This window comes from Homo sapiens, chromosome 9, assembly GCF_000001405.40.
Source record: "Homo sapiens chromosome 9, GRCh38.p14 Primary Assembly".
NCBI classification, from domain to species: Eukaryota; Metazoa; Chordata; class Mammalia; order Primates; family Hominidae; genus Homo; species Homo sapiens.
Genome location: NC_000009.12, coordinates 114,144,047 through 114,169,978, shown reverse-complemented (window position 1 = coordinate 114,169,978; position 25,932 = coordinate 114,144,047). Strand labels below are relative to the sequence as shown.

The window sequence follows — 25,932 nt, the reverse complement described above, 5'->3', positions numbered from 1 at the left end:
TGGATTTTTAAAAAAGAACACTGCACGTGCCAAACAAAACATATCCAGAGCTCCCCATGTGTGACCTTTGTCTGCAACTCTCAGACAAGCTGATGGGCCAGAAGGACCCCTGCTCCATGAGCTGGGAGAACGGGGCTTTGGAAGCTGCTTACTCACTGCATGATCTGGAGCCAGTCAGCTACGGGCCTTCCTTAAGCTGTTCGAGCTTTGCAGCTGGGTTAGCAAAGAACGGGCTTGGACCTGGGCCAACCAAAGCCCAGGGATGCTCTTCACCTGGGGGTAGCCACCAGACTTGAGTCTGTCCCAGCGGATCATGAATCTGGAGCAGGGTGGGCAATGATGCATTTAGCAGAGCCAGAGGAGCCGGGGGCCTGGCTGGAGCCAAGGATGTACCCATAACCAGCTCCCTGCTCTAAGCTGCTCCTTTTCCTGTCTTTACTAGGGGCAACCACTTGACCAATGCCCCAGTCCCCCACTGGAGCTCCAAGCAGCATGCAGACCCCACTCAGTCTTACCGGCAAGCCACAGTCTCCCTTGGGTCCCGGAGGCCCCATCAGCAGAGGGAAAGGCGTAGATCCTGCCAGGTGGAAGATCGAATAGCCACTGCTCGTGGGCCGGGGGCTGGAGGACAGGAATTGCGCCGGGGCCAATACCAGGGCCGGGGTGGTCTGCTGACTGGGCTGGGGCTGTCTGGGGCTAGGCCTGGTTGTCAGATCGCTCAAGGGGACATCCCTGGCTGCCTTCCCAGGTCTGAGGGGGACAGGCTTCCGGGGGCTGCTCTTGGGTCCGGCTTTCTTTGAGGCTTCCGATCCAATGGGCTTCTTGCTTCCAGTGGGAGCTGAGCCAGGAGTGGGGACGGCAGGTGCTGTTCTGGGAGTGCTGGTGCCCGAAGTTGGAGGTACCATCGTGGCTGGTGGCCGAGTACTCCTGGTAGAACCAGGAGTAGGGGCAGGAGATGAGGATAAAGCAGTAAATGGGGGAGGTTTGTGGGTGCTGGTGCGGGCAGAGGCCGGCTTACTGGCATGGCTGGTTATCTTGGCCTCAGTCCGAGCTAGTGTGGGAATGGGTTTTTTAGAGGAGCTGGTGGTAGGAGGTAGGGGCCGGGTGCTGGGCGGTGGGGGCCTGGGCATTCCCGGGTTCCTCTGGATGGGCTTCTCTGCGGGACGGGAGACTCTGGCAGGAACTGGACGGGAAGTAGGTGGCACTTGCTTCTGAGTGGGTAGGGCTGACTTTGTAAATGAAGATGGAGCTGTTTTCTGGGTAGGATGGGGGCTTTTGATGGGCACAATTGAAGTAGAAGGGGCCGAAGGCTTGGTAGGGAGGCTTTTGGGGATTTTGGTGGCTGTGATCTTCTGTGATGGTTGAGCGGCCGCAGGGCGAGGCGTTCTGGTAGAGCCGCCAACAGAGGCTGGGAGCATGGGATCAAGTGCGTTACTGGCTGACAGCTTGGCAGGTAGCAGCGGGGTTTGGGCTGGGCCTCCCACCGCCATATGCTGGTGAGGGTTTGTGGGGCTAGTCCTTTGGGGCTTGGTGGGCGTGGCGGGTGCCACAGTCCCCCTGGGTCCCCTGCCTGCTGGCAGTGACCCCAGGGCTGGTGTGGCAGTGGTCAAGTTCTCCAGGCCTAGCAGGGCGAGGTCGGACTGGAAGGTAAAAGGTCTGCCAGAGTCTTGGGAGAAGAGAGGTCCCAGTGGGGACTGGTACGTGTCAGCCTGTCCACACTGCTTCCTCAGGTGGGTACAGTAATTGTGAGCGACCTGCGTCACAGGGTAGATACTGAACTGGCAGAGAGCACCTTCAAACTGGACTGCATGCGGGTTCATCTTCCCAAAGAGGAAGGAGCCCCCAGGGTCGAGTGCAGGGTCCCTGTGGAAAGGCAGCAGGACAGGCACCCGGCGCTGCCCGCAGGCAGTCACCAGAGTGACTGTGCGGCCTCGGAGCTCGAGGGCCAGGTGGTGCCAGCGCCCGTCGTGCATGTCGAGGTCGAAGGCCACTGAGCGCCGGGACCCGAGGTGGACGACCGTCTTGCCGGGGAGGAACTGCAGGCCCAGCTGCAGCTTGCGTTTCTGGCTGCGGACAGCGAAGAGGAAGGCATGGTTCACCCGGTGGGAGCAGAGGCTCAGCACCAGTGCCAGCTCTGTGCCCAAGGCGGCAGGAATGACGGTGCCCGTGGGAGCCTGGAGCCGGGCCCGCTGCGTAAAGATGAAGCCCGACTGGAAAGGAATGACTCCCGGGGGTGCAGGGCTCCCGGCCTTCGTCCAGCTGAGGCCCAGCCGCTGGAGGATGTCCACATCTGAGAGGGAGGGAAAAGGGGAGAGGACGCAGTCAGGGCCTGCTCCAGCCCACCCCACCCCCTACCCCCTAAGGGGCACAGGCAATGTGGACCGTCCACCCACAGCTACCTGGTCCTTTGTTCATTCATCTAAAAATGACACCGCCCCATGGTGGTGGCTGAGAGGGCAGCGTTGGAACTATCTGGCAGGGATTGTGACCCCTTATCTGGCTGCATAATCTTGCATGTTGGGGTTAAAAAACAGACTCTGGAGCCAAACTTCCTGAGTTCAAATCCTACCTCTAACACTTACTAATCTTGTGACTTTAGTGCCTCAGTTTTCCCATCTATTAAATGGGATAGTAACAGTCCCAACCTCAGAAGGATGTAACAATTACATGATGAATACATTTATTTTTAAGTGCCTGGTACAAAAGAAGCCCTTTCAAATAATAACTAATACTAAAAATAATGATAATAACCAAATGCTGTTGCTGAGAGTGTTAGAGGCTGCCCAACAATGACACGTTATACTCCTTTTTCTCCACCTGGAAAGCCATCTCCTCCAGGAAGCAGCCCCATAAGTGAGGGACCAGGATGACAAGAATAGACCTGTCACCAGAGCTTGGTAAAGATGTCCTAGGGGTCTGACAGGTTTCACCATCTCCTCAGGGACCCACCCATTCCCCTTCCCACTCCCGAGGTGTCTCTAGCAGGCTACGGGGCTGCCATCTGCTATCAGAAGGGTGATGGCATTTCCGCTGACTCCTCCTTCTCCCCACAGGACTCTGGGGAGAGGAGAGGAAGCAATCAAAGCATCCCTGCAACCTCTGTCCCCTGGCAAAGCGTATGGATATCTGACTGTGGTCTGGCCAGGTCACATCCGCCCAATAATTATGTCAGCAGGGCTTGCCAGAGCAAAAGAAAAGGAGGGCTTCCAGAGTGTTTATGGAAAGGCTTCCTGACCTTTCCCCTCCCAGGTCATTAGACCCCTTCAGTCAGCTGAGCTGCCAGTGTTGGCAAAGCAGGCTCCTGAGCTCTGACTCAGCAGGGAAGGAAAAGCTGCCTCTGGAATCTGAGTCTGGGTCAGGTCCTCAGGGCCCTTCCCCTAAGCTCAGCAAGATAGGCCCTGAGTACTGAATGCTCTCTCCCTATCACCCCCTGCAAAGGTTGTGCTGGGGGCTGAATGCAACACTTGGCATTTGGCCCTCAGCTGACAACTGGGAGATGGATGGATGGATGGATGGATGGATGGATGGATGGATAGATGAATGGATGGATGGATGAATGGATAAATGGATAGGTGGGTGGGTGGATGGATGGATGGATGGATGGATGGATTGATGGATGGATACATGGATGCATGAAAGGATAGATGAGTAGATGGATGTATAGATGGATGGATGAATAGATGAATAGATGGATGGATGGATGGGTGGATGGATGGATGGACAGATGGATGGATGGATAAATGAATGGATGGATGGATAGAAAAATGGATGGATGGATGAATAGATAAATGGATGGATAAATGGGCAGGTGAACAGGTAGATGGATGGACGGATGGATGGATAAATGGATGAATAGATGAAGGGATGGATGGATAGATAGATGAATGGATGGATAATGACTGGCTGGATGGATGGTGGGTGGATGAATGAATGGATGGACAGGTAGATGAATTGGTGGATGGATGGATAAATGGATGGATGAATGGATGGATGAATAGATGAAGGGATGGATGGATGGATGGATGGATAGATGGATGGATGATGGCTGGCTGGCTGTATGGGTGGATGGATGAATTGATGGATAGATAGGTAGATGAATTGGTGGATGGATTGATGGATGGATGGATGGATGGATGGATGGATGGATGGATAAATAATGCCTGGCTGGCTGGATGGATGGGTAGGTGGATGAATGGATGGATGGATAGGTAGATGAATTGGTAGATGGATGGATGTATAATGGACGAATGAATAGATAAATGGATGAATGGATGGATGGGTGGATGAAAGGGTAGATGGATGGATGGATGGATGGATGGATGGATGGATAAATGGATGGATAAATGGATAGTAGATGAATAGGCAGATAAATGTATGGATGGGTGGATGGATGGATGGATGGATGAATAGATGAATAGATGGATGCATGGATAATGGCTGGCTGGATGGATGGATGGATGGGTGGGTGGATGAATGGATGGATGGATAGGTAGATGAATTGGTAGATAGATGGATGGATGGGTGAATGGATAGATAAATGGATGAATGGATGGATGGGTGGATGAAAGGGCAGATGAATGGATGGATGGATGGATATTGGATGGATGGATGAATGGATGGATGGATGGATGGATGATGGATAGATAAATGGATGGGTAAATGGATAGGCAGATGAATGGGTGGATGAATGGATAGAAGGACAGTTCCCTGGGGGAAATTGAGAACCTGAGTGCTGGCAGCATGTTATAATGGTTCTATAGCAGACTCTGGAGTCAGAAGGCCAAAATTTAGAGCCTGAGAAGACCAGCAGTGAGCCTCAGTTCCCTCCACTGTAAAACAGGGCTATAAAGTGCGCCTACACCATAGGGTTGTTAGGAGGATGAAATGGTCATCTTCCTCATCATCTTCACCCAAGCCCCACATTGAGTAACTCTGCTTAAGTGTCTTACTGACCCTTGGGCCTCAATTCCCTGCCTGTAAGACAAGAGAAACAGATCTTGAGATAGCACAGGTGTTACAATGTTCTAAGAATTCTATAGCTCTGTGTTGCTGGTTCAGGTTGGCTTGAGTTTAAGACCTTTATTCTTCCTTAGGACCCAAGGGGCTTTCATTTCATTTCAAACTCCTCTTTCCCATCCTTTCTCCCATCTGTCTGTCCTCAGGTTCTAAGCTAAAATAAACTACTGATTAAGGATTCTCTTAGTGGTATATGTTTTAGTCACTGAAACCCTCTTATTATCATGAAATACTATTCACTATTATTCACTATAGACTGGGACTTAGAATGGGAGGAGCCATTTGGTTGGACAAGAGGTAAGGGCAGGAAGCCACTTGGTCCTTCCTTTAGTCCCTGCTCAACAACCCCCGGAGGGCCCCTCAGGCCTGCTCACATCTTTCTCCACACATGGAATTTAGGGCTAACCTGCACTCACCCAAAGAGAGTCACAACTGGCTGGGCCAGGCAGCATGGGTGAGGTTTCCCCTATCCACTGGGTGGGTTTCTAAGCTGACAACCAGCAGTCTCCAGGTGTCCCCCAAAGACCATCTGCAGCTAAAGGGCAAAGTCTCAAGCCCTGACACCTGGCAAATGTGACCAGCACAGAGCTGCTATGAGTCAGACCACTGTGAGCCCTGCAGGGCATAGGAAAGGGCTGTTCTTGCCCAAACTTTTCAGGTAACTAATTAACAGCAATAAGAAAAACTAATACTTGTTGAGCACTTACTAGATACCAAATACTTTACAGGCATGATCTCACTTGATTCTCTCAGCAATCTATGGAGCAGGTACTCTTTATTATCCTCACTTTATAGAGGGGGCTCAGAAGAGTCAGAGGGAATAACTTGCAGCTTAAAAAAGGCACAGCCAAGGTTTGAACCCAGGCCACCTGACTCTGGGGTCTTTGTGCTTAGCCATGATGCTATTCTGCCTGGGGCCTCCCAGGCTTGTCGGAAAGCAGGGTGGAGACACATCCAGCACCCCATCAAGGGTGAAGAGATGGGGGACAGGGGAATGAATTCAGCCCAACGCCAAGATAGAAGGAGCCTGCCAGCTGGCCCCCACAAGATCCCTTCATTACATAAACCTGGCTCCACACAGCTCCAGCCTCTCCCCCCGCCCCCCGCCCCAGTGACTGACTCAGGACTCTGGACAGCTGTTCACCTACTTTGTGGGGGAAACAGCAAGCTTGGAAAATATGACATTTGCACAAAATGTTGCTGGGCAGCAGAAGTCTCTTCCGGGCACAGCCCTGCCCTCCCAGGGGCCCAATCCCTGCCGAGTGGCCAGGTCAGGCCACAGGGACTCCCGGCGTGCCGGGCTGCCTGCCCCAGCACACGGGCTGGGCGTGAAGGCGGGGGAAGGGCAGCTATTTTCAGAGGCATGCGGCTGCTTGACAAACAGATGTGGGAGAGGTTTCAGTTTCCCTGGGCAGATGTGAAGCCAGCCCATCGCTGCCCCGGCCCCCTGGACAGCCCCTCAGGGATAGCAGGGAAAAGTAGGATCTCACGGGAAGAGGAAGATGGGATCCCAGGCTTGGGCCATGAGAGTTAATGCTTAATGCCTTTTTTTTTTTTTTAGCAGTTCTTAGAGCACTCATTGGACAAACAGGGACAACTGAGGCTTAAAACCGGAGTAACTTACTCAAATTTTGCCCCAGAAAGGAACACAAGAATCACCCTTCCACATTTCTGCACAGAGTCCTTCCTACCCTTTTACAAAAACTTCAAATGCGATTCTTTTTTTTTTTGAGACGGAGTCTCGCTCTCTTGCCAGGCTGGAGTGCAGTGGCGTGATCTGGGCACACTGCAACCTCCGCCTCCTGGGTTGAAGCGATTCTCCTGCCTCAGCCTCCCGAGTAGCTGGGACTACAGGCACCTGCCACCACACCCAGCTAATTTTTGTATTTTTAGTAGAGATGGGGTTTCACCATGTTGGCCAGGATGGTCTCGATCTCCTGACCTCGTGATCCACCCACCTCGGCCTCCCAAAGCGCTGGGACTGCAGTCTTGAGCCTGGCCTCAAATGTCATTCTTTCAAGCCTAAAGAGAATTTGCCAATTATCATCTCCATTCTACTGATGGGAAAACTGAGGCATTGAGTTCCAATTACAGGCACGGCTGTCTCCTACCCCTGAGTTCTCAGGCCCCTTCCGTTCTCCTTTGTCTCCCCCTGGACAAAGAGAAGAGAGAATTACCTTCAGGAGCTCCTTGGGTGGAGGCCAGGTGACAGGCAAACGAGACTAAGATCCAGGAGAAGAGAAACCCCCTAGAGACCAGGAGACACAAGCAGAGGCGGCATCAGCTTCCACCCCTCACACCCGGATCCGGCTGGGGAAGCTGGGAGTGGAAACCAGTCCCAGTCTCACCCCAGTCCTGCCCACGGGAGGCAGGAGGCCAGGTACAGGCTCTAGGACCCCATCAGAGCAGCAGCCCACTCTTCCCGGCCTCCAGGCACAGCCTCTCAGTGAGGACCTGCTTATATAGACAAACACAGCCTCACTTCTCACAGATCAATTAGCCAACGTCAACGGGGAAGAAGCAGTGCATAGAAAGCCCTGCCCTGGTCATTGGAACATCTAGGGTCCAGCTCAAAATCTGATGCTGACTCAGTGAGCAACCAGGGGCCAGCCCCTCCCCTTCTCTGGGCCTCAGTCTCCCCATCTGTACTACAGCCTCATGATCTTTAGACCCTTCCCCAGACCCCAGCCAATGGGCAGCAGAGCCAGGGGTGAAAGGTCAGCGGGAAGACCAGGCTGGACTGCTTGGGAGACCAATTCCCACACAGGGCAGGAGAGAGGAGACCCCTTAACCAGAACCAGTGCTGTGTGAAGGCAGCTCCCAACTTGGCTTTATCCTAATGGAAAGTGGGAGAAAGAAAACAGAGGGGACGAGGGGGAGTTAGACAGAGCCACGTGCAAACCTGGCCTTGTCACTTATCAGCTGTATGACCCCGAATGAGTTGCTCAGCCTCTCTGAGCCTGTCTTATCTTCTGCAACATGGGCTGATATTCCCTATCTCACAGGCCGGGCATGAGGATTCAATAAGCTCATGCATGGCAAGGGCTCAGTCTGCTGCCAGCCACAAAAATACTCCCCTAGATGGTCCCCACTGTCCCTACACTCTAGGGCCAGGAAGGGTTAAAGCTCTGCTCTGTGGCTTTTGCCAAGATGGGCAAAGGCAATGATACAATTTCACCTTCCTGTGGGAGCAGCCACCAGTGACACCCGAAGCCACCTGGGGTATCTGATCCCCAGGCAGGCAGAGGGGAGGCCGGCACGTGGCCAGAGACAGGCGGGACACAGGCAAGAGAGCTGTGTCAGGTGGGTGGTGAGGGCTAAGGCTGGGACAGACAGGCCCAGGATGTATTTCCAAGAGGAAAGCTAGGATAGTGTGCTTCTGTGGAATCACATAATCTAGGAAACCTGTCTGCCAGGGTTGATAACTGGAACCCTAGGTTCTTCCCAGACTCCCTGGGCACCTTAGACGACAGCTTCTGTCACTGTGGGCATGGTGAAGACACTGGTGATTACATGCCCACAGCATCCCTCCTTCCTGCTTGCTCACGTAGGCATGGACTTAGAGGATCCTACATGAATCTGGATAAATCTAAGTTGATCCCGAGAATTTCATTTGCCATGCCAGTGACTGGTTTAGGCATGCATATATGACCCAAATGAGGCCAATAAGAGGTGAGGGATGCCTGTTAGGGACCCTGGGAAAGCATTTCAAAGGGACAGAGAAGGTTTTCTTCAAGTCTTTATATGTTGTTGAGTAAGGACATACTGCTCGGAGCTGCTGCAGTCATTTTGGGCACATAAGGTAACAAGCCCCATGAGCACGTGAGGATAGCAGAACAGAAAAATAGTGGGTGTCTGAAGACACTGTTGGGATGCTGAATTCACCAACCCTAGTACTGCTCTTCCTTGAGGCCTCTTGATATGGGAATAACCCCCCTTATCGTTTAAACTATTTTGAGTTGGGTCTTCAGTTACTTGCAGCATAATGTAAACCAGCTGAAATAGCACTCAGACGCCAGTGATGGTCCCCTGAACGCCTTCTCCAGCTCTGGGCTTTTGCACATGCTACTCCCATCATGTAGACACTACTCCTTTGCCTGGTCAGTTCCTACACATCCATTAGATCCCAGCTTGGGTGTCACCTCCCGCAGCTCACTGCACATGCCACACTACAGCAGGTCTCACATGTGTGGTCATTGTCTACTCTCCTATTTCCCTGTCTAGACGAAGTCTCTAAAGGGCAAGGATGCCTGTCTTATTCACTCTTTTTTTTTTTTTCATTTTTTTTTTTGAGACAGAGTCTCACAGTGTTGCCCAGGCTAGACTTGAACTCCAGGGCTCAAGCTATCCTCCCACCTCAGCCTCCCGAGTAGCTGAGATTACAGGCATGTGCCACCATGCCGGGCTTATATTTCCAGCCCCTGGCAGGCACACAGGAAGTGTCCAGTATATTTTTATAAGATGAATTAATATCACCTGATATGACAGGACTCTAGACTTTAAAAAACGGCCGGGCACGGTGGCTCACACCTGTAATCCCAGCACTTTGGGAGGCCGAGGCAGGCGGATCATGAGGTCAGGAGATCAAGACCATCCTGGCTAACACAGCGAAACCCCATCTCTACCAAAAATACAAAAAAATTAGCCAGGCGTGGTGGCGGGCGCCTGTAGTCCCAGCTACCTGGGAGGCTGAGGCAGGAGAATGGCGTGAACCCAGGAGGCGGAGCTTGCAGTGAGCCAAGTTCATGCCACTGCACTCCAGCCTGGGCGACAGAGCGAGACTCTGCCTCAAAAAAAAAAAAAAAAATAGACTTTAAAAAGTGTCTTCCCAAAGCCTTAATTCCCCTACTCTGACTTTTTCCAGAATTGCTCCAAGATAATCCTTGGTCCTTCCTCTTCATCCTCTCCAATCTGCTGCCACTGTTGTGAGAATGCCTTTTCATGGGGCCAGGCCCCCAGCTCACCATGGGCAACGACTAAAGGTCAAAGTGTCAAGCTGCCCTGGGGTTGCCTGGGGAGAAGGGCAGGGCCAACCTTTCTGGCATGACTTGCTTACTTGAAGCAAATGGCAATAGCATGAGCCCTGGAGAGAAATAAAAGGCAGCTTTGTTTAATTACACAAACGGAGAATACCAAGGCTCAGGGAAGGCAGGTACTTCCATCCTGGGCAACGTCTGGGCTCATAATTCTTCAGTAGTATTTCCCACACCCACCAGGGACATGCTTTCTAGGAAATTGGCCAGATACATTAGGGAAGAGCTGTACCCTGCATCCCAGTCTTGACAATCCGGAAAGCACAACTGTATATCAAAGGCTCGGAGAAATCCTGCAATAAAGAAGTTGACTGTACTTTCTGTCATTCAGCAGTCCCCAAATTTAGAATCATTTTTTCCATGAATGCCTCCTCAGAGGAGACTACCCCTTGCCTTCCTGTGTTCCTGCGATCCCATTTATTTCTGTTCCATCTCCTTCCAGCCCCCTCTCTTCCTGGCCCTTGTCTGGCACCTGCCCTCACTCCTTGAGTCCTTCATTGGATTATGTCACATACCAAACTTCCTAGGAAGTTTCCCAAACTGATAAAGAAAGGCGAGGTGGGGAAGAGAAGGTACAAAAACGACACATGTCCTTCTCGGTCAGTTTCCCTGGCTACAGCTATACCAAAATGACTACTCTGCAGAGAATTAGAGGGCAAATCCTTGTAATCTCTGAAAATCAGGAAGAAGAAGTCCACAGGAGACATGGAATCAGAATCTTCTCTTCAATTAAGCTTCCTAACACCATGGCTTCCAACTTGAGGACTTCAGCCCTGAAGGCCTATTACAGAAGTATTCAACCTCCATTCATTCTCCCTGACAAATGCAGCTGACCCTCTTGGAAATGGATTCTGTGTGCACTTGACCCATAAACTTCCCAAGTATAGAGCATGTCAGAGTGGAAGAAGGCCATTTAAGATCATCTAGGGGTCAGATTCTAGTCCTCTCTCTCCCTTCTTTGAAAAGATGCGTAACTGAGGCCCAGAGAGGGCAAGTTACTTGCCCGAAGTCACACAGTGCTTCAAGTCTATGACTTAACAGATAGTCCTTTTCATTTGACTTGTCTCCATGGAGCAGAAATTGGAGACTTGCAGGGACTTCCTACTTGCCAGAGACCCGAGCCCCAGCCTTCACCAGCAGGAACAGAGATGCAACCCAGGGAGCCAACGAGCCATCTAAGTCAGCTCCAGGCCTGGAAAGTTGGCTCTCAGAGGGAGGCCCTGCCGATTCTTTTGCTCCCGTTCCAATCCTGTTTAGGCTACTGCTAATCATGGTTAGTGCCTGTGCTGGCTCAGGGCTTTGTTCTTCCAGACTTCTGTTTTCACCACTTGTCTTGTGGGCCTTGTCTCTGCAAACCCAGGGCTCCAGAATGTCAGGAAGACCAGAGCACAGAGGCCAGGGAGGCCAGGAGGCAGCCGAAACGGGAGCCGCGAGGAAACATCACATGGAAACATCGTCTGGCCACACAGCCCTCCAAAGAGGAAACCCAGGTGTTTCTATGCCCTTGCAAAAGGCCCTCTGCCAGTGCACCAAATGGGGCTACTCCTGGGTAACCACACTGCCAGAACCGGCAGACTGCTTGGATAGTTTTCTTCCATCCTTATTACCTGGAAACACACAGGATCTTAGAAACCCACACCAGCTTCAACAGTCACTGAGGGCTCTGAGCTGAGACCCAGGCCACAGAAACACACAGGGAAAGTGGCCCTGTGGACACTAGGCTTGGCTGTTCACGCATGGGGTAAAAGCTGAAAAGGGAGCTAGCTGGAACTACAGCTCATCAAGTGGGGTGGACCTGTCCCACCTGCCTCCATGGACTGGCCAGACCCCCTGTGCCCAGACGGCTATGCCTGGGCTTTCTTCACAGCTTCCACGTCCTCCATGGGAACACAGACAGGTCATCGTCTGGAGAGGATGCAGCCCAGAACTTTCCCATTGACTCACACACCCATTCAACATGAAGGGAATAATACAAATACCAGCTGCCGTTTACTGAGCACTTATTACATGCCAGGCCCTGTTCTAAGCCCTTTACAAGCATGGTCCTGTTCATCTTCACAAAACCCAGCCAGCTAGGAATAAGGTGCCGGTTTTGTGGAAGAGAAAAACAAGCAGCAGAGTGGCTCACCCAAGCTGGCACAGCAGAGTTAGGATTCAAACTCGAGCCTGCCTGATGGCAAGCCTCATGGCCCTCCTGTGGTGCCGCCTGCCTCCCACCAACATGATTCTGTGAGTGTCTCACTGCTGTCCCCTACCACCAGTGGATATGTTACTCTGCGTAGCCAAGCCAGGCATGTGGGTATCAAGAGGGTCCCTGGACAGAGATGGAGGAGAGAAAATGCCAACAAAGAACAGGGGAGTGTGCTCAGAAAGGGACAGAGACCACCAGGAGGCTGCTGGCTGCTGAGGGTCCGCAGCGCTGGTGGAGGCACAGGAGAGGGAGAATGTTCTGAGTACAGGGAGGAAACAGAAGGAGGCAGAGGCCAGGGATGTGTCCATAGACATGACATGGAGTTTGGTCCGGCCAGAAGGGTCCAGGAGCAGAGGCATGCTGGAGAGCAGAGGCATGCTGGAGAGCAGAGGTATGCTGGCGCCAGAGCGCACATGATGCAGGACAACGTGATGTCAAGGGAGGCAGGGAGGCAGGAGAAGGCAGAGACTGGGCCTCCGAGCAGTGTTGACTGCCCACTTGCCCACAGCTGGAGCCCCACCATGGGGTGCTCGCCTGGCACCACTTTTCTGCCCAACTGCTGGCATCTACCCTGGCGCAGGGTCTTCTGGAGAAAATGAGTCAGCAGTGTGCTCACTGGTGCCGCGCGCGCGTATGTGTGTGTGTGTGTGTGTGTGTGTGTGTTGTGGTGAGGGGGTGCGGGGCGGGGGAATCGCAAACAGCCAGCTTTTTCCAAGACATGGGGAAGAAAGGAGGGGGTGTCATCCCGCGGACTCCAGCTCAAAGGGGGCAGGGCCCAGCTACAGCCCTAACAGCCTCTGGGGAGTGTCCTGGTGTCCTGGGGGCAGGATGGAAAGAGAGGAGCGCCGTCCACAGGCCCCAACGGGCTGCTTGCATGCTGCTGGCTCCCACACACACCCACACGCTGCGCCGGCTCCAGCACAGGCTCACTCTCTCTTACAACTCCTACTCCACACGCTGGGAATCCCAGCCTCTGGGCCCCAGCTCCGCGCAGCCGCTCCTGGGAGAGTCCCTGCCCCTCTCCGGCCCTGTCTCCCGATCTGTACACTGAGGGGTTCCGCACAGTGATCGCCCAGGGCCCTTTCTGCTCTGACATGCTGGCTCTCACTTTTTCTCTCTTACACACGTGAAAGGGACAGGAACCGAGAAGCAGGAAACACAGACACACAGACCCAGGCCGACTAACACAAACACGCGGAGATTTCCAGAAACGCGGGGACGTGCAGAGCCACACAGACACGGAGACAGGAGCAGAACCCGAGACCTGGTGACCTAGAAACTTGCGGACAATTTCACAAGAACAGATAGAAACGGAGACGTACAGGCTTGGGACCTGCAGACACTGAGACACCGGAACACACCGAGACGGCCCCAAACGGAGACCCCCCTCCTCCCCCAAGCATCCAAAAAGCCCCCCTCCGCACCCCGCCGGCCGCTCCAGGCGCCACCACCCACCCCCACCCCCGACCCCCGGGCTGGCTCTGCCCCCGCCCCAACGGGATCGGGCAGCCGGGCCAGGCGCGGCAGGGCGGGCAGCGTTCGCCAACTCTCGCCCGGCCGGGGGCGCAGCCCCTATTAACCCTTGGCGTCCCGCCTCGCGGGGGCGCAGGAAGGGGCAGGAAGCTGACGTTCCGCTGGAAGCGACCGCATGGCGGGGAACCCCGGCCCTCCCCGAGATTGGAGCAGCAGGAAGCTAGGGAGGGGGCGTCCCCGAGTTCGTACTCACCCCCCGCGCGCCGCCGCCGCCGCCGCTGTGCCTCGGGCCCCCCGCGCCGATCCCGCTCCCATGGCAGGCCCCTACTTCATGCTCCCGAGCCCGGGGGGCAAGTGTGGGCGCGCCCCATGGGGCCGCCAGCCCCCCGCCCCGCCGCGCCAGGCCGGCTTAGAGCGCGCGGCCCCCGCGCCCCCAGCGCAGCCCCGCGCCCAGGGGCGCCCGAGCAGGCAGGCAGCGCGGCTGGGGCCCCGCGGGCGCCCGCGCCAGGCCCATGGTCCCAGGAGTCCGGGCGCCGCGCTCGCCCCTGCCTCGGTCCTTTTCTGCTTCCACCAAAAAGGAAGAAGAAGCAAGAAAAAGAGAGAGAGAGATGATCAAACTTTTGGAGGCGGGCTGCTGGCGGTCCCCGGAGGCAGAGCAAGGCCGGGTGAGGGCGCGCGGAGGGCGGTGGAAGCTGCCTCCCCGCCGGCCTGGGGGAGGAGAGGAAAAGGAAGGATTTGGGGGAAATGAAGGCGATTTAAAGTCTCGGCCCGCGGTGGCTCTCCACCTTCCCTCCTCCCCGCTCCCGGCCGCCCTCTGCTGCCCCCTGCTGCCCCCTGCCGGCCGGAGCCAAGGGTACAGCCTCAGCTGGCCCACTACAGCCCCGATGGGACACCCGCCCCCCTCCTCCTTGTATAGATGGGGAAACAGATTCACAGAGAGGAAGGGGCTGCCCAGGGCTTCACGGTGATTTGATCACCGTTCTGAGATTAGGAACTTCTGACTGGTGAGGCTGGGGGTCCTCCAATGGGGGGTTGGGGTAGGGGAGAAGGGCCAAATTCTACTCCTGGAAGAAACCCACAGTTTCAGGGACGGAGCTAGGACCAGAACTTGGTGTCCAGACGCCCACGACAACCAGTATCGTGATCCCCACCGCCCACCAAAAGTTTGCGCTCCCAGACTCGGAGCGCCCTGGAGAACATATAGGGTGGGCTTGTTAAGGGTTTGCCACCCTCTCTCTCCCTTCTGTCAGCAATTGGAATCTAACCGCACCCCACCACCACCACTAACCACGCACCTCCCCAGAATCGACAAAAACTCCCTCGGATCCCATCCGGGAGCTAAGAGCTGCACACCTTGGCCCCCGGGCAAATTCTCACACCCAAAACTCCAGTCCAGCCCTGGGACCACAGCTCCCTCCGCCTCTACCACCTCTTGCCACTCGTTCACGAGCAAAGTTACACTTATTCACCGGTGCACACACACACTCCCACACGTATCCACCCTTTCCCCAAACTCAGACACACGCTCACACACGGTCCCATTCTGGGACAGCCACGCACCCTTCCTAGGTTCACACGAAACGCATCCTCAGATATCTGGGCTCAGGCGCACGCTGATACTCTACACTCGCAGAAGCATGCACACGGATGCTTACACAGGCACAAATGCACGCTATCCTGGCCATATCGCCCCCACACATGTACACACCCCGGGTGGACACACGCGCGCACACCCTCACTTGCACACAGTTCTCCGAGAGTGCCCACCGCACATGTGCACACACGCATTCACTCCTCACGCGTGTACCCACCTCCCCATACGCGCACACCTTTAGGCGCGCGCACACACAGGCATATAACACTTCGCACCGCTCCAGGAGCCCCCAAGCACTTACTGGGTCCCTACGTGCGAGGCTGGCCGGTCGGTCCTTCCTCCGGCGCCTAACGGCATTTGTATTCATGGGTCCCCGCAGCCGTGGGCGCGGGGGCGGGGGGCGAGGTCCCCTTCCCTAAACGGGGCGCGGGCGCGCGGAGCGCAGCGGCACCGGGAGGGGCATGGGCGCGCGGGACTGCGCCGCCGACCCGGTCCGCCTGCGCTCGAACTTCGGCAGCTCTGCGTCCACGGGCTCCGGCGCGGGCTCCGAGAGCTGGGGGCGGCTCATAGGTGCTGGGGCGGCGGCGCCCGCCGGGCCTTTTGAAGTCTCCGCTGGGGGCGGGGAGGGGGCGCTGAAGGCGGCCTTTTAAACCCTGGCTGCACGCGGGCTCGGTCGAGCAAGGTGTCTGGTTTCAACAAACTTTAGGAAAAGTCCCAAGCCGAGAGAGGGGAGGTAGGGGGGTTGGGGGAGCTGCATAGCTGTGCGCTGCTTCCTGCAGAGGGCAGAGCACCCATGGCTGCCAGGAGGGAGGCCAGTCGCGGGACTGGGGAACTGGCAGGCTGCTGGCCGGCGCGTGGAACCACCCCCGCCACCCCCGCACCCCCAATGTTGAACCAGAGTTCTTAACTTCCATGTGCACGAACCCCAGGGAGTGCAGGAACACCCCCAAACTGTGCACAAATTGAGCATGTTTGTGCATTCTTCAGGGGAGAGGGGCCGTGGGCTTTCCTCCGGTTTTCAGAAGTCCACGGCCCCCTAAGGTTGAGAACTCCCTCTTCAATCATAACTGATGTTTTTTTAGTTGCATACTTGGTACCATGCAGACCCTGTCTTTATTTACATTTTAGATATTTTGTTCATTGTGGGGTTTTGCATTAATTTTGATACTTTTAAAAATATTTTAAAAGTAAAAAATTAAAATATTATTTTGATTACTTAGGGGTTTGGGGCACTGCTTTGGGCAATTTACCTCCGTTGCTGAGTTTTCTTGGCATCTCCTGGTATGCTGCATCTCTGCATGTGCCACACCCTAGTCCAGACCCTGACCCACACAGTGCTGGGGTTTAAGGGAGGCCTGCTTTTTTCTCTCCATTTACAGATGGGAAAGCTGACATAAACGGGTAGGTGGTAGAGGTGGGATTTGAACCCAGGTAACCTAACTCCAAACTTCTGCATCTTGTCATAAGGATCCAAATCTTAGGCTTTAAGGGGTTCTGTGCAGATCCTCAGCAGCCTCCCCAGCTTCAGATCCGGCCTCCTGAGCTCCAGTCTCTCTGATACCTGCACCCAGGCTCAGGTAAGCTTGACTACTTCGATGCTTTCTCCATACTGTTTCCTCCCAGGTTCTCCCTCTGCCCCTTTTCTGCCTGTTCACAACCTGGTTATTCTTCTAGGTGCAGGCCAGAGCTCACCTGACTCTGGTGAGCTGCTCTGCCCTACACCGGGATTGCAGCACACATCACATGGCGCTGTCATTGTCAGATCCATCTCTGTGTCCCCACACCCAGCCTGACACATGGAGCCTGGGATACAATAGATGCTCAAACCGTTGGTAATTTAAATAAGTTATTTGTTTTAACTCCTACAGTATGCAAACCCCTGTACAAGACTCTGGGGGAAAAGGGTCTGCCACTGTGGGGGCAGGGACAAAAATTTCCATATGGTCCTGCCTTCTGGTCATGCACGCATTTGTAATGTGGACAGGAGACACGCACAGCAACTTGGGGTAGGGAAGAGAGTCTGGATGGGAGACATCAGACATCACTATGTCATGGAGAACCCCCTGCAACTGCATAAAGGTAAGATAATATAAGGAGAATGTGATAAATGCCACCAAAGAGATGCAGATCAATTGAATTGTGAAGCTGATTAAGGGATGGAAAGAAACCGAGGAAGGCCCCCAGGAGGAGGTGGCATTTGGATCTTAAAGGGTGTGTTGGATAAATGTGCAGCCACAGAGGAGAAGGACATCTCCGGTGAAAGAGTCACAAAAAGACCAAGAGGACAGAGTTGGATTTCAGGCAGGTTTTGAAGGAGGATTGAGGCGGTGGGGCCCAGTGAGAAACTGGGGAAACTGTCCAGTTCTCCCCACTGTATTGTGTGGGTGATACCACACGACTCACTGTCCACAAAGCCATTTCCAGGCAAGGGACTGCATTTCCTGAAAGGTCAGGCAGGCAGCAGGTCAGTGGCTAAGCACCAAGGCCTTTCCAAATTTCACTCACAAATGTGAATAGGCAAGGCTTAGTGCCAGGGAATGCTGCCTGCTTCACCCAGGTCAGCCCAAAAGACCCGTGAGAATGCTATGAGAACCCAAAAGGATTGAGGACATCCCCTCTCAGAGCCTCACTCTGCCCATCTGTAAAATAGGTGCATCAAACGTGATGATCTGTGTGGGCCCTTTGAGCTTGGAGGCATGAGACTGTCCTTCAACAAGAAATCCAATTATGTATGTGAATATTGAGGGCTAACTGCATTTTGCTAGGTCGGGAGGGAAATGAGGCTCATGGCCTTCCAGGAGCTCATGGGCAGCTGAGAAGAGGAGGCAGGGACACTGGGGAGAATTCCAAGGAAGGGCCTTGTATCCTGCCTCTGCCGTCTCCCCACAAGCAGTCTTCCTGCCAGGCAGGTTCTTGGCGCAGAGCCAGTGACTGGGCATGAACTGTTCTGATGGACGTTGAATCTGGAAGACACCAAGCCATTACCCACCCTTCAAAGGGGACAGCACACTCACCAAACAGCCCTAAGGGGCCCATTTCTATGGGGCAGAAGGCAGTAAGCCTGGGAACCAGGTGGGCAGGGGCTGCCAGGCCTCTGTAGATGCCTCAGGATGAGAATTCCTGGCCTGGTGGGGACTTTCAGGGAACACATAGTTTGTTCCCTGCTCAAGCAGCTCAGCCATGGACCCATCGGTCTCTGTGGCACATCTGCCTTAGGAGAAGCTGTTGGTTGCAATAGCTTTAATGTTGGGCACACAGTAGATGCTCACAAAATATTTATGAATGAACCACTAGATGAAGTGTTTGTTTTGTTTTGTTTTGTTTTGTTTTTTGGTAGAGACAGGGTCTCACTTTGTTGCCCAGGCTGGTCTTGAACTCCTGGGCTCCAGCAATACTGCCACCTTGGCCTCCCAAAGTACTGGGATTACAGGCATGAGCCACTGCACCTGGCCCTAGAGGAAGTCTTAACCTGCAGGACAGAGGTTGCATACTGCCCCAAGTATCAATCCACGTCCGTTTACCCACCAAGCTGCTTCTGAAGACCCACTGTGCACCAGGCTGGGTTTTCTGCTCTAGAAGCGCTATGGTCTGAGGAAGGAGGCCAGCAAAGAGAAAGACAGATAAAAAATGCAGGTCAGGAAGTCCTGCCTCAAATCAAGCCTGTTTAAGTGGTACTGCAGGGCTTGGAGGAGAACCAGATTCCTCCCACTAGGAGAAGAGCTAGAGTCTGCCAGTCTTTCCAATACCCTGCACTGCTGTGGGCATACCAGGCTGGGTCTTTCTTTCATTTGGCGGCCCCACCCTGCGTGTAGCAAAGGATACGCACACAATACATGTCTAACCATGGAGTCATTCTTTCCCTGGTAGGGAGATGCTGTCACGCATCAGGCCCTGAGCTGGCCACTGGCAAATACAAGCTGTGGTCCCTGCTGGACGCGGCTGCCTTGTTTAGCTTCTGACAACAACACAAAGCACAGTGCCTGGCACATAGGAAGTTCTCCACAAGTGCTGAGCGAATGACGGAATGAAGGCCTGAATGAAAACATGAAAGAAAGTAAATTCAGCAGATTAGACCAGGTTAACCCCCGCTGCCACCTCCTCCCTCTCCTCCATGATGACCCTCACCCACCAACAGATATTTGTTAGGCACGTGCAGACCCAAAGCATATGGAAGACCCGATTTTAGGTGCTGTAGATATACTGAAGAGCATACACACAAAGCATCTGTCTTAACAGAGGAAGAGGAAATACACAAATCTGTTATATGACATCAGGTTGTAATGAGTGCTATGAAGACCTCTAAGCAGGGCGTGGAGTGGCAGAATGATGAGTGGGGCCATTTTATTTAAATAGGGGCTATTTTATTTAAATATCACCTTCTCTGAGGAGGTGATGTTTAAGCAGGACAGAAAGAATGGGGGGAAAGAAATGAGCGAGTGAGTCACGTTCAGCAGAAGAACCATGGGAAGGCAAGAATGGGTCCCCACTGACTTTTCATTCCTGTAATTCCTTGGTTAAATGTAGACCTTACATTCCCTGAGGGCAGGAGCTGCTCTGCCCTGCTCATGGCGGTATTCCTAACACCCAGGACAAAGCATTTTGGTAAAATGAACTGAATTCCAGGCTGGAGTGAGGCAGATTCTAATAGTGTCTCTCTCACCCCCTCCAGGCAATGTGGGCCCATTTCTCTCCCCAGGGCAGGTGGCTGGAGTCAGTGCTGGCTGTCCTCATGGCCCACTGGTCTCCTAGGGCCTGGGTTCTGCCTGCAGGACTACGTCACTCTGGCCTGGTGGCTGCCAAAATTCCAAACACAATCACTCTACCAGAAGGAATAAGGGCAGAGGTCAAAGAAGCTCCCAGGCCACCATTGGGAGGGCAGCACCTTCTAGGCACATGGTCCCACCATCTGGGCCCTTCTGCCTCTTCCCCTCTCTGGGTTTATTTCCCAAGGGCTAGGCCAAGTGGCAAAGGGCTGTGAGATCCAAAGCCCACTTATGGTGGCCAACACTGACCCAGATGTGGGGCCCCGTGAGACTTTTCAGACCTGGAGGAACCTATGGAGCTGCCTAGCCCAAATTCCTCATTTTACAGGTGGGGAAACTGAGTCTCAGAGATAGCATTCATGATTTTCTCAAAGCCACACAAAGTTAATGGTGGGGCTGGTGTGAAGAAGCAGGGCCCCCCACCTTTGTGTCTAACCGCAGAGGGTCAAACCTGTCTCTCCAGCCTTCAGCACAGTTAGTCATCCTTGGAAGAATTAGATCCATTTTCCAGATGTGAGCACTGTGGCAAGTTAAGGTCTCTGGCCTCTGCCCGGTAATGTGTCCGGAACCATTGGCTATACCAGACAAGCCATTAGTGATGAGTTCTGGGCCACCCCCAGCAGCCCAGGGTGGGGATGAAAGCAACTGATGATTTCAGGCCTTGGCTCCTGTGGCCACCTCCGCCTAGAAATGCCCTTCCTGCTCTTCTTCACTGGAGTCCTGTCTCGGTGTTCCCTCCGCTCTGCCATGCCAGCCCCCATCCTGCCTGGTACACCACACACCTATACAACAGGGAGCCCTGCAAGGCTACGGCTATGTCTTATGTCCATAGAACCCCTCAGTAAATCTTAGATGGACAAAGGAAAGAAGGGAGGGAAGAATCAGGGAAGGAAGGAGGGAGGGAAGAGAGGCAGAGCTGGGGGTGGGTTGACCATCATCCAAGGACATCCCTGCAACAGGGGCGGACACTGTTGTTGTGTCCTTGCTAACAGAGTTTCATCTTCATCCAACCTCTTTGTCCTTCAGTGGAGACCGTGTCCCTCCCAAACCCCAAGGGTTGAACCCTATTTGAACAAAGCCTAGCATGGTGGCCTCCTTCCTCTGGCCAGTGAGTGGCTTGGTCATGGACACTAGACACAGTCGGGCCACTGAGATATGAGAAGAATTGCATATGCTGAGGCCTTCTGAGAAAGTTTTCCCCACCTTTACAAGTGGACACAGACCAGCGACATGTCCCTTTCTGCCCTTTGGACTTTGGGGGATGAGATTGTACTGTGTGGAGAGGCTGCAGTCATCTTGCCACTATGAGGTGACAAGCCCTAGGTCCATGGCCAACAGACTGAGGGTGGCCAAGAGGAAAGGCAGAAAGAATGGGATCCTGGCTGGGTGCAGTGGCTCACGCCTGTAATCCCAGCACTTTGGGAGGCTGAGGTGGGGGGAACACTTGAGGTCAAAAGTTCGATACCAGCCTGGCCAACATGGTGAAACTCCGTCTCTACCAAAAATACAAAAATTAGCTGGGCGTGGTGGTGCACGCCTGTAATCCCAGCTGCCTGAGAGGCCAAGGCAGGAGAATCGCCTGAACTCAGGAGGTAGAGGTTGCAGTGAGATGAGATTGCGCCACTGTATTCCAGCCTGGGCAAGAGAGCGAGACTCCATCTTAAAAAAAAAAAAAAAAAAAAAAAAGGAAAGAAAGAATGGGATTCTTAAAAACATTATTGAGATGCTGAATTAGGCACTGTTGGACTGACCTTTTTCAAAACAAGTGTCCCTCATTGTTGATGCCACTTTTAGTTGAGCTTTTCCCCACTGGCAGCTGAAAGCATCCTAGCTTATATATCAATGGAACAAAAACTTTGGTCTGTACCAAACAGACCAGGGGATCGCAATGACAGTGATAATAAAATAATAATCCCTTCCTCCATTCATGGCTGAAACAATGTCACATTTAGCATTTTGGGTTGCCATGCAACAACCCCATCAGGTTGACAAGACAGATATCTGCATCTCTGATTTAGAGATGAATAAACCAAATCCAAAACAAAGGGTCTTGCCCAAGTTCAGCCAGCAGCAAGGTGACAAAACTGGGACTAGAACTGTGGCCCTAAGTCCAGTGTTCATTACACTATACCAAGACTCCTGTGTGTGTGTGTGTGTGTGTGTGTGTGTGCGTGTGTGTGTGTATGGGAGTGTGTGTGTGCACGCACGCGCATAAGCAGGGGATGAATTCCCTTCACAATGCAAGGAGTAGCCAGTCAGCGACAGCCGGTGACGGAACCACTAAGTGAATTTCAGAGTTGAAAATTCACCCAGTCCAGTGCCTGGTTGGTTCCATGATGTGGTCAGTCAACTCTTATGTGGCAAATCTGCTGTCAGCCACATTGGAGAGTCAACTGTGTTAGAGAGACATCATTCTCCCTCCTCTAGCTGCAATCTGCACTCCAAGATCTTGGCTGCCTCATTACCCCATGCCCAGACCACGCAATGTGATACACTACTGCTTGCGGGTAGTTCCAGGAAAAGTTGGATGCTTCCCCTTGTCACAAAATGAGGACAGAGGAGCCACACACACACACCCCACTATGCCTCCCATCCAAGAAGCCATTTCTGCAAAGAGCTTTTCAGATGCATCTCCAACTGTTATCATGCTAGAGCTCCTTTTACAGTGACTATCGAGAAATGCAACTCTGGAATCAGCTGAAGCCTGACTGTGTGGCTCCAGTCACTCTCTGAAAGTAACACCCTTGCCTTCCCCACAAGCCCTCCTTTTTCCAGTCCCAGCATTCTCACTTCCGCTAATCACTCCTCATCTGGTACCCCTTTCATATCTTCCATCATTGTCTCCTCCAAGCGCATTGCAGTCAGTACCCAACTACTGCCAAGTGACCACAGCAAAGCTCGAGGGTTTGGGTGGCATCTGGCTAGCACAGAGTTGAGCAAGACTATCACCTCCTCCCATATATAATCTATGCTCCTGTTAATGCAACCTGAGTGCATGTTAGCTTTTTTGACGACCACACCACAACATTCACACTGAGCTGATGACCATTAGAAACTCCTAAGATTTTCTCATGTGCCTTCTCTGGTGCAGTAAAGTTTTGTCCCCGAGTGGAGTCCTTATTAAGTATCATCTATCCTTTTCGCCTATCTGGATTAATGCTTATTGAATATGTGGCTTAAGGGTCTGTGACTGCATGACCTTGTTAAGGCATGAAACATACAGATAAATAGTGTTGCTTAGAGGAGTTTCAGGGTGGTTCGTGCCAACTTGTCAGCATTGTTTTCTAATAACAAGGGACTAACAATTTGTACCTGGCCTTCGTGAGACCCCTGGAGGGAACTGCCACTGGCGCTGGTTTCGTAGCAAGAATATACCTCAAATGACCAAACAGGAATGAAAAACTTCAGGTGAGACTCCCATGTGGGGCTCCTGGGTTCTAGGTATTCCATACTCACGTCTGTGCTTCTGATCTGAGAGAGGAAGTGCATATTGGTATGGCCTTTCAAGGGGAGGACAATGCGGGCTCACGCCTGGCCTCTCCAGACCCCTTGCTATGAGGTGGTCTTTAGCTGTGAAGCAGATTCTTACGTTAATGCAGTTGCAATGTTGTACCCTTTTCCTGAAAGAACTGTAGGTGTGTACACATTGTCATTTTGAGTCCTGTGGGCCTTCCTTGCAGCCAAGCCCTAATTGCTATCCTTAGGGCAGGATCCTACCACAGCCTCAGGCGTTTATACAAGCAAATGGGAGATGACAGGCTGAGTGCAGTGGCTCACGCCTGTAATCCCAGCACTTTGGGAGGCTGAGGAAGGTGGATCACTTGAGGTGAGGAGTTCGAGACCAGCCTGCCAACATGGTGAAACCCCGTCTCTACTAAAAATACAAAAGTTAGCCAGGCAATGGTGGTGCATGCCTGTAATTCCAGCTGCTCAGAAGGCTGAGGCAGGAGAAACGCTTGAACCTGGGAGGCGGAGATTGCAGTGAGCCGAGATCACACCACTGCACTCCAGCCTGGGTGACAGCACAAGACTCTGTCTCAAAATATTTTTTTAAAAAATTTTTAGAAAGAGAGATGACAACAAATGCTCTAATAGGTAATCAGAGGTGGGCAATACCACTCCTCTCCCTCTTAGATTGGCTAATGTATCATTGAGGGGTATTTCTGCAACCAGATTCCTATTTGGGGTCTCACCTATCCAGATATCTAGGAGGGGTTATGATTTCATATGAAGCCCATTGCCTGAGGCTGGTTGCAGGGTGCGGCCAAGTTGACACACAGCACCACCTTATAGTAGCCATAGGACCTTGAGAAACAGACTCCCTTTACCTCTCTGAGCCTTTGCCTCACCTACAAAATTGGGGGAACTGACATGCACGTCCATGGTAACTATTCATTTCTCCCAACTTCACCAGTCCCTGGGAGGTGAGCTATCAGGTCAAATCCAGCTGATCTTGGCACAATATGCCCCTCAAGCTAATGGGGTCTCCTCTGGTTGCCTTGGACTGCAAAAGCACTTTCCTTCTCTCTTGCCGCCCTTGTGGTCCATGTGGATAGTAGCTAATAGCAGGCTACCTGGTGCAAATCCCAGTTTCCATCTCTGGCTCTATGGTCTTGGGTGTGCTGTTTAACTCTTTGTACCCAAGTTTCTCCACCTTTTGAATTGTGATGATAATAATAGCATCCTCATCTTTTACATTGGTATCTTAATAATAATATCTACCTTGTGCCTAGGATTTGACGATTAAGTAAGCTATTATATATGAAGCAGTTAGAACAGTGTCTAGTGCATGGAAAAAGTCAAATAAATATAGGTTGTATTTATTACTACTATCGTTATTATTGTTTTCTCAGATGGTTTAGGTGCCAGTGGCTTCCGAATAAAACAGCATTCTTGAAGTGAACAGCTGATGAGGACATGAAATATTATGCCAAAGCTGGCATCACACTGTTCTTTTTCCTGGATGAAAATCTCTCTGAGAAGCATTTGCTCTTAACTTTGGTGTCCTGGGGACTGCTGCCTTATCCCAGGAAGCCACCCAGAGTCTTGGATGTGTGGGATCCTTAGGACTTCATGGTAAACCTGCTCTAGTCCCTCGGGTTAGTAAAATGAAGCCCAGGACATCTGAGAGCCCCCAGCACTTCCATAGAAATGGACCAAAATCCCTTCTCCCAGGGGGAGAAACCTGGAATAAGCTCAAGAGGACAGACGGCTAAATTTTCAAGAATCGTGTGAGCTGCTGTTAAACAAGCCATTATTAAAACTTTAATTGTGTAAACTTACAATTAGGTCAGTTATATTAAAAGTAAAAGTGATACATACCCCAAACTCATCTCTTTCAAGTTATTTTACTATATTTTACTGTTTTCTATAGGCTTGAAGTTATTTACATCTACTGTAAGTGTGGGGGTGGAAATTCAATATAATGACACGCTACCAAGCACCTCTTCTCAACTTGGTGTTTAGTGACCTCACCAAGGTAGCTTCAAACAGGCTGTGATGGGAGTATTTACACCTCAGAAATTAGCAAATGCTATTAATTAGGGCTCTTTTCCCCCCAGAGACCCTGGTATTAAGCATTTATTAGCACCTGGGCACAGTGGCTCACGCCTGTAATCCCAGCACTTTGGGAGGCCGAGGCAGGCGGATCACCTGAGGTCGGGAGTTTGAGACCAGCCTGACCAACATGGAGAAACCCCGTCTCTACCAAAAATACAAAATTAGCCAGGCATACTGGCGCATGCCTGTAGTCCCAGCTACTCGGGAGGCTGAGGCCGGAGAATCGCTTGAACCTGGGAGGCGAAGGTTGCGGTGAGTTAAGATTGAGCCATTGCACTCTAGCCTGGGCAACAAGAGCGAAAC

At 52.6% G+C, this 25,932-nt stretch overlaps 1 protein-coding gene and 1 long non-coding RNA gene across 14 annotated transcripts in view, besides 4 other annotated features; one reads left to right on the top strand and one right to left on the bottom strand.

The window, feature by feature from the left end:
* COL27A1 (collagen type XXVII alpha 1 chain) overlaps positions 1-15,881 on the bottom strand; it is a 158,414-nt gene extending 142,533 nt beyond the window's left edge. For 11 of the 13 annotated variants that reach the window (XR_929860.4, NM_032888.4, XM_011519140.2 and 8 more), the window contains exons 1-3: positions 13,967-14,442; positions 7,194-7,264; positions 516-2,290 (exon numbers count right to left, since the gene is read on the bottom strand). Coding sequence is in view for 12 of the 13 variants with exons in the window: in NM_032888.4 (NP_116277.2) it covers positions 516-2,290; positions 7,194-7,264; positions 13,967-14,028 (1,908 nt within the window). In the remaining variant the exon portion in view is untranslated. Of the gene's footprint in view, positions 1-515; positions 2,291-7,193; positions 7,265-13,966; positions 14,443-15,608 lie in introns of those variants that run through there. The other 2 variants (XM_011519138.3, XM_047423992.1) reach the window with 1 other exon arrangement.
* Positions 6,315-6,831: an enhancer, noted in NCBI's record as "H3K4me1 hESC enhancer chr9:116925428-116925944 (GRCh37/hg19 assembly coordinates)". NCBI's record gives its function as "activates a minimal SCP1, AML or CMV promoter by ChIP-STARR-seq in naive H9 embryonic stem cells {active_cell/tissue: H9 hESC(naive)}" and the evidence as "EXISTENCE:reporter gene assay evidence [ECO:0000049][PMID:30033119]".
* Positions 13,276-13,570: a silencer, noted in NCBI's record as "tiled region #14358; K562 Repressive non-DNase unmatched - State 20:ReprD". NCBI's record gives its function as "represses a minimal TATA promoter and a strong SV40 promoter by Sharpr-MPRA in K562 cells {active_cell/tissue: K562}" and the evidence as "EXISTENCE:reporter gene assay evidence [ECO:0000049][PMID:27701403]".
* Positions 14,458-14,577: a silencer, noted in NCBI's record as "silent region_20209". NCBI's record gives its function as "represses an Ori minimal core promoter by ATAC-STARR-seq in GM12878 lymphoblastoid cells {active_cell/tissue: GM12878}" and the evidence as "EXISTENCE:reporter gene assay evidence [ECO:0000049][PMID:35858748]".
* LOC105376225 (uncharacterized) lies at positions 15,711-25,398 on the top strand. The gene is made up of 5 exons (XR_930256.3): positions 15,711-16,884; positions 16,982-17,139; positions 17,292-17,386; positions 23,366-23,478; positions 24,924-25,398. It is a non-coding gene; the product is annotated as an uncharacterized LOC105376225 (long non-coding RNA).
* Positions 16,114-16,635: an enhancer, noted in NCBI's record as "H3K4me1 hESC enhancer chr9:116915624-116916145 (GRCh37/hg19 assembly coordinates)". NCBI's record gives its function as "activates a minimal SCP1, AML or CMV promoter by ChIP-STARR-seq in primed H9 embryonic stem cells {active_cell/tissue: H9 hESC(primed)}" and the evidence as "EXISTENCE:reporter gene assay evidence [ECO:0000049][PMID:30033119]".
* Positions 25,399-25,932: the final 534 nt, after the last annotated feature.